General features: G+C 45.4%; 1 protein-coding gene and 1 pseudogene across 3 annotated transcripts in view; one reads left to right on the top strand and one right to left on the bottom strand.

Moving 5' to 3' along the window:
• PCSK2 (proprotein convertase subtilisin/kexin type 2) overlaps window positions 1–14031 on the bottom strand; it is a 258472-nt gene that overhangs the window by 3046 nt on the left and 241395 nt on the right. The gene's annotated exons all lie outside the window — the stretch shown is intronic.
• DYNLT3P1 (dynein light chain Tctex-type 3 pseudogene 1) lies at window positions 2067–2744 on the top strand (annotated as a pseudogene).

Here is a 14031-nt window from a genome sequence, read left to right as displayed (position 1 = left end):
CAAGGGATTTTGAGGGCAGCTTCAGGTGGCGGAAAGGGCAAGGGCTTTGGGGTTGATCAATCAGACCTGGGTTTAGTTCCCACACTGGCTGTGTGAGCCTGAGTAAGTTACTTATCTCTTTTTTTTTTTTTTTTTTTTTTTTTTGTCTTTTGAGACAGGGTCCCACTCTGTTGCCCGGGCTGGAGTGCAGTGGTGTGATCTCAGCTCACTGCAACCTTCAGCTCCTGGGTTCAAGTGATTCTCATGCCTCAGCCTCCCCAGTAGCCAGGGTTACAGGCATGTGCCACCACGCCTGGCTAATTTTTTGTATTTTTAGTAGAGACGGAGTTTCACCATGTTGGCCAGGCTGGTCTTGAACTCCTGGCCTCAAGTGATCCAGCTGCCTTGGCCTCCCAAAGTGCTGGGATTACAGGTGTGAGCCACCACGCCCGGCTGTGAGCAAGTTACTTACGCTTGGAACCTTCTGTGTGGAAGGAGAATGTAGTAGATGCTGTGATGTCCCTCCTGAGTCTCCTAAGTCCCTTCTGAGTTCACCTGCAGCTGAAGCTCCCTTGCACGTCCACTGCTTCCCACCCCAGGCACGAGAATCTCCCCGTGTTCCCCCTGGGCTTCCTCCCACCTCCGTGGAAGCCTGCACAGCCTGCGTGCAGGGCGGCCCAAAGGTGGCAGGGATTTAACCTTTGAGGGGTAGCTCTCTCCCAGTGACTGACAGGTTTTTACCCCGGTTTCTCTATTCCTCAGCGTGACAACTCAGTGTCCCTAGTGGGACTGAGCTCAGCTGCCCACGGTGGCAACTCGCTCATTAATGCACTCTTCATTGGCTTTTCTCCCCTTCCTTATTTTACATCTCCAATTCCTCACTTGTGTTACCTGGGATCATTTCTCAAAAAACTGTCAGCACCCAAGTCTTGTCTCAGGTTGGACTTCTGGGACAACCCAGACTGAGGCAGGAACTCATAATGTCTTTCTTTCAAAGTGCTAAGTGCTTTGATAAATAGAAGCTGTTGCTAATATGACTGCCATTACTACCATTAAGAAAAGCTGGGCCGGGCGCAGTGGCTCACGCCTGTAATCCCAGCACTTTGGGAGGCCGAGGCGGGCGGATCATGAGGTCAGGAGATCGAGACCATCATGGCTAACATGGCGAAACCCTGTCTCTACTAAAAATACGAAAAATTAGCCGGGCTTGGTGGTGGGCGCCTGTAGTCCCAGCTACTTGGGAGGCTGAGGCGGGAAAATGGCTTGAACCCGGGAGGCGGAGCTTGCAGTGAGCCGAGATCGCGCCACTGCACTCCAGCCTGGGTGACAGAGCGAGACTCTGCCTCAAAAAAAAAAAAAAAAAAAAAAAGAAAAGCTGAAAATGGGTAAATTAATTCCAGTGAAAGGCAGTCCAATGAATGATCAGGAGACTTTGGGGGAGTCTTTGGCGAGAGTTGGAGCGAGGTTAAGCCCAAGTACTCTCTAGGCTGTCCTTACAGGCAATCTCCTTTCTGGAGATGGCCTTCTTGGAGTGGGAGAAGCTCAAAGGTTCTTGCAGTAGAAAGAAGGAAAAAAGGAAACCGCATTTGAGGATTGCGTGGTGTAACATCAAGACTCCAGACTTTGAGAATAAACCCATTTGGATTAGAATTCTGCTTCTATGTTTACTGCTCATGAGAGCTTGGGCAGGTTATTTAAGCACTCGAAGTTTCACTGTCATTGTGGATAGTTCTTTTTTTTTTTTTTTTTTTTTTTTTGAGACGGAGTCTTGCTCTGTCGCCCAGGCTGGAGTGCAGTGGCGCCATCTCGGCTCACTGCAAGCTCCGCCTCCCGGGTTCACGCCATTCCTGCCTCAGCCTCTCGAGTAGCTGGGACTACAGGCGCCCTCCACTGTGCCCGGGTAATTATTTATATTTTTAGTAAAGACGGAGTTTCACCGTGTTAGCCATGATGGTCTCGATCTCCTGACCTTGTGATCCGCCTGCCTCGGCCTCCCAAAGTGCTGAGATTACAGGCGTGAGCCACCGCGCCCGGCCGTATGATTCTTGTGTGGTTAAATAAGACCATGTATGAAATACCAGGCACAGGCGTAGCTCCGCCCCCAGGGAGAACAGGCGCTACCATGGAGGAGTACCATCGCCACTGCGACGAGGTTGGCCTCAATGCTGAGGAAGCCCACAATATTGTCAAAGAATGTGCAGACGGGGTTTTAGGTGGTGAAGATTATAATTACAACAACATCAACCAGTGGACCGCAAGCATAGTGGAATTATCGTTAACACATCTGCCTAAGCTGGGAAAAGCTTATAAATGTATTGTGAAATGTGCAGTGGTCCAGAAGAGCGCATATGGCTTTCGCACAGCAGCTCCTGTTTTTGGGATACCACATCTGATGGAACCTGTACCGTAAGATGGGAGAACTGGACCATGAACTGTATTGTCAATGTTTTTGCCATTGCTGTTCTTTAACTGACTAAAAATGTTGGGTTAAAGCCATTAACTTAAGAATTTGTCAGTGTATCCTTTCAAAAATAGTTATTTATTAGTGTGCTAGATGACAAGTGTGCAATATACTTTAAAGCTATCAACAAAAACTGAATATTGTAAGCAAGCAATATCATAGCAATTGGCAGATTATCTCATATTCTATACAGCATCATTTAAATACGAAAAATTTAATGCTAGCAAAAAATAAATGCAGAAATATGGCATGACATGAAAATACAATCTTACATTTACACTAGCTTTTCACTAATATTTTGTACGTAAGGTGATGGGGAACTCCATTCAGATAATAAAATTCTCTTTCAGCTAGAGAAGTTAACAGGAATAAATATATGAACAAATAAGCTGCAAGGATAAATGTGGAGAAAATGATGAGAATTAGCTAATATCTTTTCATTTTTTAAAACTTTCTTCCCCTCACTTAGTTGTACACAATATTTAGTGGAAAGTAATTTTTAAAAATTTTCTATCAACTAATAGCATAGTAACAACTATGATTAACTTGTTTACTTTTTCTGAGGATTAGTAAATCGATTTTTTTTAATTTAAAGTTTTTGGATTTATACTTGAGGGTGAATTAAATCTGGTAAACTGAATTTCCTAGTTAAACAAAATTAGTTGCAGTATATGATGAACAGTATATGACTCAAACAGCTGCCTTACAATTCATTCCATGTGGAACAAACATTTATCAGATGCCTATTATGGGCATATGTCTCTGCTGAGCACTATAGTTATCAATGTGCTGTGTAAATGCTAAGTTCCTTTTAGCAATTGTTCAGTTGGAAGACAAGTATTAATATTTGGGGAAGGAAAAAAAACAGTTGTTTTACACGGGAGGAAAAAAGTGAGTCTGGTTACACATATAGAAGTAAGCAAAATGAAAAGCACTTAACTGCTTTCTGACAGAATGATAGATGTAATTTTAAGAGTTGCTCCTAGCAAGTTAAAAGTGCATGTAAAATATGCAACTCTTAGTTAAAGGCCTTATTATCAGTCTTATCTATACAAGTAGTAAATTTTGTCATTGCTTTAATTACAACCATCTGTAAATAATTTTGAAGACTTATTATGTGGGGTTCAAATTGAGTGGAATAAAGTATAGATTAAAAGTATACAATCATTAGCAGGTTATCTCAGGGCTTATGAAATGTAATTAAATTTATTAAGAAAATAGATAAAAATTAGGGTACACAGCTGGCCACCAAATGCGAAGTCAATCTGCTACTTAACCCTGCACACAAAATCAGTTTTGCATATTACCACTAACACTAACACTTACAGAGAGTGGAATCATAACTCATTGAATTTTGGAGAGGAATAAACTTAGTGTTAATATTAACAATATTAAGGCAAGATTCTTGTAGGAATACCATGTGCATGTTGGATATTTTGCCAAATAACAATAATTAATACCTGTTAAATGTTTAATAATAATATTAACAAAATAAAGGAGTTCAACGCAGTGATCTTTGTTTTTGGCACATCAAAACTTCTCAGTCATTATTCATGTTTCTTTATGCTGCTGGCTTTTGTGCCCTTGAAGATTATAATAGTGACCAACATATATATGCAGACTTGTTTTTTATTATTGTTGTTTAAGCCTGATTTAAGAAAAAAATATTCATACCTCGTGAACTTGCTATCTGTTCTGTTTCTAGTTAAAATATAATAAATATTATCTTCCTGTGCTGAAAAATAAATAAATAAATAAATAAAATAAAATAAAATAAAATACCAGGCACAATGCTTGGCACATGTACTGGCCCATTGCCTATGCAAATATCCTTCCTCAATATGGCTTTTATTTTGGAGTATAAGTAAAATATTTTTAAACACACATCTTGTAAAGCACATTTACAAAAAGACAGTGGTCATGTGCCCAGTTGGAGTCAAGCCTTGGTTCTGCATTGCCCTAGGAACCAAGGCCATGAACCTGGGAGGGCTTGCTGAAACATACAGTGCAGTTCATTAATACTCTCTGGAGGAACTTTACAAATATAGACTTAAACGGTTTCATGGAGTACTGCTGTATTCCCCTCTCCCACCCCCGGATACTGATGCTGAATCATGTATGGAGTGTCCATCAGCTATGGGGATCCAGTGATGGTGGGGTTGGTCTTTCTGTTCCCAGGATCTGGGGAAACCATCCATTTGGTGGAAAGCAGGCATTAAGCCAACTTTGCGGGTCGGGGTAATGAGGGCCATAACCTGGATTTCTCAAAGATGGTGCTATTTATTCAGAACAAGATCAGAAACAAAACAGGTAAGGTGATGAATAACTAAAGATTGGGCTCTAGCCCAGCAGTGGACAGCTGTGTAGGGTAGCACAAAGAGTCTCAGAGTACGAGTCCAGTTGTGGGCAAGTATTTGCATGATCTGAGCTATTAATTCCTGCCCTGAACAGTTGCTGGCAAGATAAATTATCCTACATATACATTATATATGCACATATATATAACGTGTCTATATGTGTATATACATGTATACTCATATACATAGTATATTTACAAATGTCTAGACCAGCATTGGCCAATAGGACACTCTACGATGATGGAAATATTCTATATATATAATCTCTAGTATGGTAGCCACTGGCTACATGTGGCTAATGAGCAATTGAAACATAGATCATGTGAGTGCTGAAATGAATGTTCAATTTATTTTATTCAATTTTAACTAATCTAATATGTTATTATATAACCACTTGTGGCTGGTTGCGTCTGTACTGGACAGTGCGGGTCTAAATTGTTTATGTATGTTGAATTTGAATCTGATAAGAACAACAACAACAGGCAGAGAGTCTCTTGGCCTTCTGTTTCAAGGGCATTCAGTTTTTTCCCGGCTCACAGGCTCTAGGAAAAGCAGTTGGGGAAACTGCAGCTTTGTTTTGCAGGTTTTCTGGCCACCTCTCTGGAGGACTCTGAAATATTCATCCAGAACCTCAAGGTATGAGGGAAATGACACATTCTATCACAGGGTTTCTAGGCAGACAAGCAGCCAGGCCCAGAATCGGGCTTTCCTTCTAGAGTTGAGCCAGAGGGGCTTTGGGAGTCTTTGAGAAGCACAGTTGCAGGAAGCAGAGAATGATAACAGGAAGAGAGACCCTGGCTCTGAGTTCTGTGTTGAATTTGAGCTCTCTTTTCTTTCCTGTAGTCTAGGGCTTCTTGAAAAGTTTCAAGAAGGAAATTCACAAGCCAACAACCAAAGACTGTAACTGAGTGGCAATCATTATAGATATTATAAAACATCACTAATCATTTGTCAAGTGCAGTGGTCACTATTATCTTAAGAATTCAGAACACCAGCTGAATTCTAAGAAAATTTGTTTTCTGTCCCAATTTGCACCCAGGACCCTTGTGGACTGGAGTCATAGTGACAGACCCTTTACAAGTCAATTTGTAGAAACTCTGGCAGAAAAATGGCATTGCTTGCCTTGTGGAAAACTGAAAATATTTCTTCAATTGGCTAAGAATCAGAGATGAGACAGCCACTTTTGCTAGAAATAAGACCACAGCCCACCATACATGAAGTTTCTGTGAATTAACTATAAGGTCCTTCGCTACGTGAAAAGAGTTGTTCTAGTGCTGAGATGACTTCTTATGATGGAAGGAGAGAAATATGGATTAGACTAAACCTGAGATGACCTTCAGGCATACCACAGCTAAGGGTGTTTTGGTAGATAGTGATAGTGCCTCATTCAGATCCCCTTCCCTGGGCTGTGCACCACCCCAGCTACTGTGGACATTGGCTGCTAACTGTGGTCTTCTGCTTGTGTCTCTGAAGAATCACCCTCAGGAGCTATGGAAACCTGGCTGAAATAAGAATACATAAAACCAATGCTCCTGCCCCCAAGCGGGACAACTGTGTGGTGGCGTTGATGCTCCAAAGCCCCCGGTGGGTCAGGCCACATGCACATACCTGGTTCCACATCCTTTCTTGGCTACTTCTGCCCCTCCCAAATCCCTCACTCTCCTACAGTTCTCCCTGAAAAGCCCTCCCTCAATAAAGCACATGTACTCAAACCCAATCTCAGGCTCTGCTTCCGAGCAACCCAACCTAAAACAGGTGTTATCTGTCTCTGGAGAAGAGCAATTGGAAACTGATTACCACATCCCTCTGCACAGTGTCTGAGGACTATTGACTATATTTATGTCATCGTTGGTGATACAGAATATGGGCCTCATTCCATCTGTGGGCTCAGTCACCTCACTTCTTTTGCTTTCTTTAAAAAGCCCTTAAGAAGTTATTGTAAAGATAGATGTAGGCCGGCGACCACTTTGACATTAAGGGCATGGCAGAGGAGCCTGGAATTTGAGTCCCAAGAAGGAGCCTCACTGGCAGAACAACAAGGGCCGGTGTGTTCCTGTCTGTGTGAATCTTCTATGGTGGCTGTCGTATCTGTTTCTCCCAGGAGCCCCACGCTCATGGGGAAGGCCTTAGCGACTAAGACTAAGGGAGGGAAAATGACAGCGAGGCTGAGAAGGGGAAACTAGAACACAGGCCACCGATTGCCCAGGCTAAAGGTCTTATTTGAGAGTGAGTGGTGTGCATTTGTGATAGAGGGTGCAAGGGAGAGATGGAGGGAGACTGAAAGACATATTCCATGCACCTTGGAAAGCCGAAAGACAGGTGGGAGTAGGGACAAACACACAAACTTGTGTTAAGAATCACACATTTTCCTAGAAGCCTTGGACACTGGGGTGTGCCTGGGGGTCACAGGCCATGCTGGCTTTGGAGCATCAACGCCACCACACAGTTGTCCTGCTTGGAGGCAGGAGCATGGGTTTTATGTATTCTTATTTCAGCCAGGTTTCCATAGCCCCTGAGGGTGATTCTTCAGAGACACAGGCAGAAGACCACAGTTAGCAGCCAATGCCCACAGTAGCTGGGGTGGTGCATAGCCCAGTGAAGGGGACCTGAACAAGAGGCACTGTCACCATCTACTGAAACCCCCTTAGCCATGGTGTGCCTGAAGGTCATCTCAGGTTTGGTCCAATCTGTATTTCTCTCCTTCCATCATAAGAGATCATCCCAGCACTAGAACAACTCTTTTCACGTTGGCTGAGGAGTCTGGCTTTTTTAGCACCACGGAGAGACTGCCAGCTAGAAAAACGCCCCGATCCTGCCCTGCCATGTGAACTGCTTCCTGCACAGGAGCTGGGTCTGCTGAGAGAGGAGACATGTGGCTGGACTCTTCTGAGAATATTAAGTTACTATGAAATTAAATTAAAAGCATGCTGTGAATTCCAGAGGCAGCGAACTTGGTAGAGAAAGAACACCATTCTCCCCTCACAGGTCAGGTTTTTTTGGCTGGCATCGTGGCATTGGGAGAGCCTAGGAACAGTATTTTCCAGATGTTTCTTGTTTCTCTCTTCATTTGCTCACTTGCATTTTCTGATTTTCTTACAGTGACCATGTATTGCTTTTATGAGAAGAAAAGGAATGAAACATTCTTATTTTAAAGCAAAAAGGAGATATATGCTCAGGAATTATCAATTTATAAGAAGGTTAAATAGGAGGAGGTTGGTGGTGGAACAAAAAGAGGCTCTGCAGAAACATTTTAAATAGTCACAGGGTGTTAGTTTCCAGGCCATGATCTGGAGCTCATTTGCTGCAGAAAATGAAGCATGCTTTCTGGAGGTTTAAGAGTTCTTAGGTCAGGCGCGGAGGCTCACGCCTGTAATCCCAGCACTTTGCGAGGCCGAGGGGTCGGAACACGAGGTCAGGAGTTCAAGACCAGCCTGACCAACATGGAGAAACCCCGTCTCTACTAAAAACACAAAAATTAGTCAGGCATGGTGGTGTGTACCTGTAATCGCAGCTACTCAGGAGGCTGAGGCAGGAGAATCGCTTGAACGCGGGAGGCGGAGGTTGCAGTGAGCTGAGATCACGCTACTGCACTCCAGCCTGGGTGACACAGTGAGACTCGATCTCAAAAAAAAAAAAAAAAAAAAAAAAGAGTTCTTCTTTGACCTATTAGAGATAACATGCAAAATCGTAGTGTTCCAGTCTTATAAAAGACAAACTTGGGGTTGTCGGGGTGGCTTGTATCTTTATTTTATTGTGTATCATTGCAAGTAAGTGTTTAAACTGCCTTGTGTCAAGAAATAGGTGTTGCTTCCCAGGAGGCCCTGGGGAATGCTTCTTGTGTTATGAATCTTCAACTGTAAGATAAAGTTATGAAGCTGTGGTGGCTCATGCCTGTAATCCCAACACTTTGGGAGGCCAAGGCAGGCGGATCACCTGAGGTCAGGAGCTCGACACCAGCCTGGCCAACATGGTGAAACCCCAGCTCTACTAAAAATACAAAAATTAGCCGGGTTTGGTGGTGGATGCCTGTAGTCCCAGCTACTCAGGAGGCTGAGGCAGGAGAATTGCTTGAACCTGGGCAGTGGAGGTTGTAGTGAGCCAAGATCGTGCCACTGCACTCCAGCCTGGGCCACAGAGCAAGACTCTGTCTCAAAAAAAAAGAAAAAGTTATAAGGCTGTGATTGTTTTGATAGAATAATCACAATAGTAACAATGACAGCCACTCTTTCTCAAGTGCCCAAGATGCCTGCTTTTGTGGCAGTCACATGACGACACGCAGCAGGTGGCCATGGTGAGGTTTTCTCCTCCCCCTGTAGCAGAGTCAGGTGGGCATGAACTTGTGCAGGAAGCCTCTGCAGCTCGGGAGTGCTGGTCCACAGTCCCCCAGGTGGCACAGGGCCGAGCACACGCTGACCTCTCACTCCCATGCTGCTTCCGGCATTGATACCAGGTTTTAACATTTATTTCCAAATTCACTTAAACTTCAGAGCTGGATCACATATTTTGGCACAGCCTTAAAGGAGCTCAGTGAACAGTCCCCTCAGGGTGCCCAGAGGGGCTGGGGGCAGCTGTGTTAGACAGGTCACTCCCAGCTGGCTGATGGGGCCGGCCTGGGCTGGCTCTGCTCATTCTACACACAGCTGGTGCAGCTGGTCACAGCCAGGTGTATTTTCCCCTTTGATTGTAGCTGAGCATCCTTCACTGACTCTCTTGATAAAGCCTCTTTAGAAAATTGCTTTTCAAATTGACTCCATCTCCGGGAAGATTAATGCCAAGGAAACCCACAAACCTGACAATCACCACTCACTCCACCTTGGAAGCTGTTTCTGTGCAGCCCTGCACATTATGGAGAGTGGCGATTGCCACGGCTGTTGATTCCTGTACCCCACCGCTCCTCGAGTGTGCTTCGTGGTCACAAGGGCCTCCTCTGTCAAGCGGCACAGCCAGCCCTGGGGCTGCTCTCCAAATCTCCCTGTGGAGCCTCTGCATTCTTCAACAAGTGTATTTGCCCTAGACCTAACTCATCTGCATCTGAGAACAAGTTCTGGTGTGGGGGTGGACGAGGGACCGGAGGGCACTGAGAGGAGGCAGAGCCCTTCCAACCAAGGCAGAGCCTCCTTCCCACATTTGCCTTGCTGGCCCGCCGGTCCTATTGCCAGCAGTCAGACATTTCCCTTGTGTCCGGCTGCTGCTGGCTGAATATTTTCATTCCCTCATTCATTTAAAAAATATTTATCACCTGTCTACTATATGCCCAGCACTATTGTAGGCACTAGGGTTACACCATGAATATGACAGACGAGGGCCCAGTCCATTGGGAGGCCCCAACTGAGTTAGTGCTGAAATATAGTGCTTTCCCATTTCTCTTCATTGAAAACACTGCATTGATCTTGCATAAAGTTCCTGGATAGTTGTGAGATGTTGGGATGATCACATCTCCGGACCTCAGATTCCTTACAGGGACTTGGATAACATTATTTCCAGTGTTCTCTCTGGCCTTAAATTCCACATGTATGCAGATTATGATGGAATGCTAAGCATATTCAGAAACTGGGAGATAAACTGCCGTTCATCTCAGCATACGCCCTCATTCCCTCTCTCTCCTTCTCTCCCGCGGTGCTCCCCTCCTGCCCTCTCTCATAATCATATGGTGCTTGACGATCATTAGAAGTCCGTCTGGCTTGTCCAGTGCAATCTCAGAAAATATAGCCTGGTATTGACACGTAGCTTGACTAAGAGGGCCGCAGTACATTCCAAGCTAACTCTTCCCCTAAATACTGCAACGGTGCTGCCTTTTTGTTAATTGTAAATATTGCTTATATGCAAGTAAGTGTAGATATCGTGCCAGTTGCACTGCCTGTGAGGGACATTCCAGCCCCCACTCCCTGCTTGCAGAGTGTCTGTAAAGGCACAGACATCGTAAGTCTTTCTCCTTTTGCAATAAGGGAATGAGGTACCAGGCCCCAGGGCCTTGTGGAATGGATAAGGACATTGGAGTTAAGGCCGTTTGCTTTATTTGTCTGATCCTGTTTTCTCACCTAAATTAAGACTAGGGATGCCAACCTCCTGTGATTAAATGAGATAGTGGAATAAAGTGCTATCCCAGTGACTTTCCGAGAGAAGTTCTTAGCAGCAGTTCTTACTAGCACCCTCCCAAGGCTGCCTTTAGGCTTCTAGGATGCTGCAATTGGATGTCGTGCTGGGGGAAGGCATGAGGCTATAAAATGGACCAGCAAGCCTTTCTTGCAGTCTCATCTTCTTGACACCCCTTCATAGAGTTTATGTTATTAAATCTCCACTTCCCATTCGGTTTGCACAATTCAGCATCCCTCCTGCTAAGATGTAACTACCAGATGTGCCTTAGACATGGCTGTCCAAGATGGTAGCCACCAGCCACATGTTGCTATTTAAATTTAAATTAATGAGAATGAAATAAAATGAAAACTCTTGTTTCTTAATCACGGTCATCCACTTTCTAGCACTCAATAGCCACAAGCTATTGTATTGGACAGTGCAGAACATTTTCACCACTGCAGAAAGTCACTGCACTTCCAAATTTCTCAAGAAATTATTCTGAACTCTAACAAGGGAAACAGTTGTCAACGCCCATTTCATGTTGACTTTGGGTAAAGTTAGTTATGATGAGTAGGGTTTAGCCTTAAATCCCCCATTTGGACAGTGGTTCCCAGTCTTGTCTCTTTGTTCATTCCCAAAAGACACGGCAGACCTTGGCATTGTAGACCAGTGAAAAGGGCCTCTGGAATGCCAGTGATGGGGTTTGGGAGATGGGAGCACCCACTAGGTGGGTGTTTCAGAATCCCCAGGGGAATGTTTACTGAAACTCCCTCCCCTACCCAAGCCTCACCTTCTCCAGGGGGAGTCACTGAGATACCTGAGAGCCCACCGTGAGGGGTCAAAGTGACTGGGCTCAGATCCCAGTTTGGCTGCTTAGTAGCTGGATGACATTTAGCATGCCCTTGACCTTTCCCAACCTCCTGTCATCAGTAATGGCACTGTGAGCTCACAGTAGGGCTGCTCTCACATACGGCCTAATGTAGGACCTGTATGCACGGGAGCTGATTAAGGTCAAGGTCATGTAGTGAAAAGAGCCTGGGGTTTGGGTTTAGATGGGCTTTGCTTCAAGTCCTGCTCTGCCCTTTGTGACTCTGAGCACATTTTTTTTTTTTTATCCTTTCTGGATCTCAGCTTCCTTGTGTATAAAAAGTAATAATGATAGGACACACCTCCTGGGCTTACAAGGATTAAATACAGTAATGTAAATGGGCCTAGCATATACCACACCTAGTTGGTGTTTCTCCCTGACACCCAGCATGGGACCAGTTTGTTGTTAAGGCTGCAAAATATTCACCCCTGCTCCCACCTCGACTGTGCGAGTATAAGGCACACCCTCAACAATAGGGTGGCTGTGAAGCTTACGTGTATGAAAGCACATAGCATGCAGTTGGCACTCAATAAAAGTGACTTCCAGTCTCACATTTACAGCCTCTGTGGGCTTGACTGTGTCAATCAACTTGTTTAGAGCTCAGAGAAGTCTGTCCTGCCAAGAGGAGGGATACGGGAGTGAACAGAAATGATGTGTGGACACAGAAGCTTTGGAAAATGGTGAGGAACTGTGCAGAGTAGCTATTTTTATTATAGGACATTTGTAACATCACTTGGGACTTGGGCAGCTCTGTGTTTTTAGATTATTATAGGGCTTGGGCTGAAGCTTTATTTTTTCCATGTGGTGCTGATTAGAGTGAGGCCTTCTTAAATCATGGACTGTTTCATGGAAAAAAAATACTCAGCTTGGCAGTAATCCACTTGGTGCCACTTTCTAGGGGTTCAGTGAGTAAACAATGAGGATGCTCACTCATGGGAAGATGCTTGTCCATGGGAGGATGCTGGCCCTTGGGAGGATGCTGACCTATGGTGGGCTGCCCGTCTATAGCAGGATGCTGGTCTGTGGGAGGATGCTGACCTATGGTGGGCTGCCTGTCTACAGCAGGACACTGGCCCATGGAGGGTGCTGACCTATGGTGGGCTGCCCGTCTACAGGAGGACACTGGCCCATGGGAGGATGCTCACCTATAGTGGGCTACCCTTCTACGGGAGGACACTGGCCCGTGGAGGAGCTGACCTATGGTAGGCTGCCCGTCTACAGCAGGACGCTGGCCTGTGGGAGGATGCTGACCTATGGTAGGCTGCCCGCCTACAGCAGGACGCTGGCCCGTGGGAGGATGCTGACCTATGGTAGGCTGCCTGTCTACAGCAGGACGCTGGCCCGTGGGAGGATGCTGACCTATGGTAGGCTGCCTGTCTACAACAGGACGCTGGCCCGTGGAGGATGCTGGCCTATGGTAGGCTGCCTGTCTACAACAGGACGCTGGCCCGTGGAGGATGCTGACCTATGGTAGGCTGCCTGTCTACGGCAGGATGCTGGCCTGTGGAATGATGCTGGCCTATGGTGGGCTGCCCGTCTACGGCAGGACGCTGGCCTGTGGGAGGATGCTGACCTATGGTTGGCTGCTCGTCTACGGCAGGATGCTGGCCCATGGGAGGATGCTGACCTATGGTGGGCTGCCCGTATATGGCAGGATGCTGGCCTGTGGGAGGATGCTGACCTATGGTGGGCTGCCCATCTACGGGAGGACACTGGCCCGTGGGAGGATGCTTACCTATGGTAGGCAGCCCATCTATGGCAGGCTGCTGGCCCATGGGAGGATGGGAATCCCAGGGCACATGCTTGTCCATTGGAGGATATTTTAGGCTGAGAGGATATCTGATTTGGAATTTGCATAAAAATCAGACAATTATTTCACCAAAAACTCTAGGAGATTACTGTCTTTTGATTCTACAGGTGTAAGCTAGAAGTGTTCACATCTAGTCATGAATGAGAAGGAGAGGCAATGTTACATTTATTAAGTGCCTACTGTGTGCCTGCTGTAGACTTGTGTGTTGCTAAAGTCTCCCAGCAGCCTGCGGAGGAAAAACATTAGCTCCGTTTTACTGGTGAGGAAAGAGAAAAAAATCTCTTATTTTGGGGCCCATTTGGATAGAATTCAGGGGGTCTAATAATTTCAATGGAAAAAATTCCACATTTTAATTTTCACTAGATTATAACAGAAACTTTTCTTCTCTTTCGATTATGAATGCAGGCCACAAAGCAGAGTGGCATTAGCTCCTCCTCGGACTTTGTCATCAAAGAGCTGGCAGATTTTCGTGTCCCACCAC

Source organism: Homo sapiens, chromosome 20 (assembly GCF_000001405.40).
Source record: "Homo sapiens chromosome 20, GRCh38.p14 Primary Assembly".
NCBI lineage: Eukaryota > Metazoa > Chordata > Mammalia > Primates > Hominidae > Homo > Homo sapiens.
The sequence above is the reverse complement of the archived record's forward strand: the minus strand, read 5'-3'. Positions and strand labels throughout refer to the sequence as shown.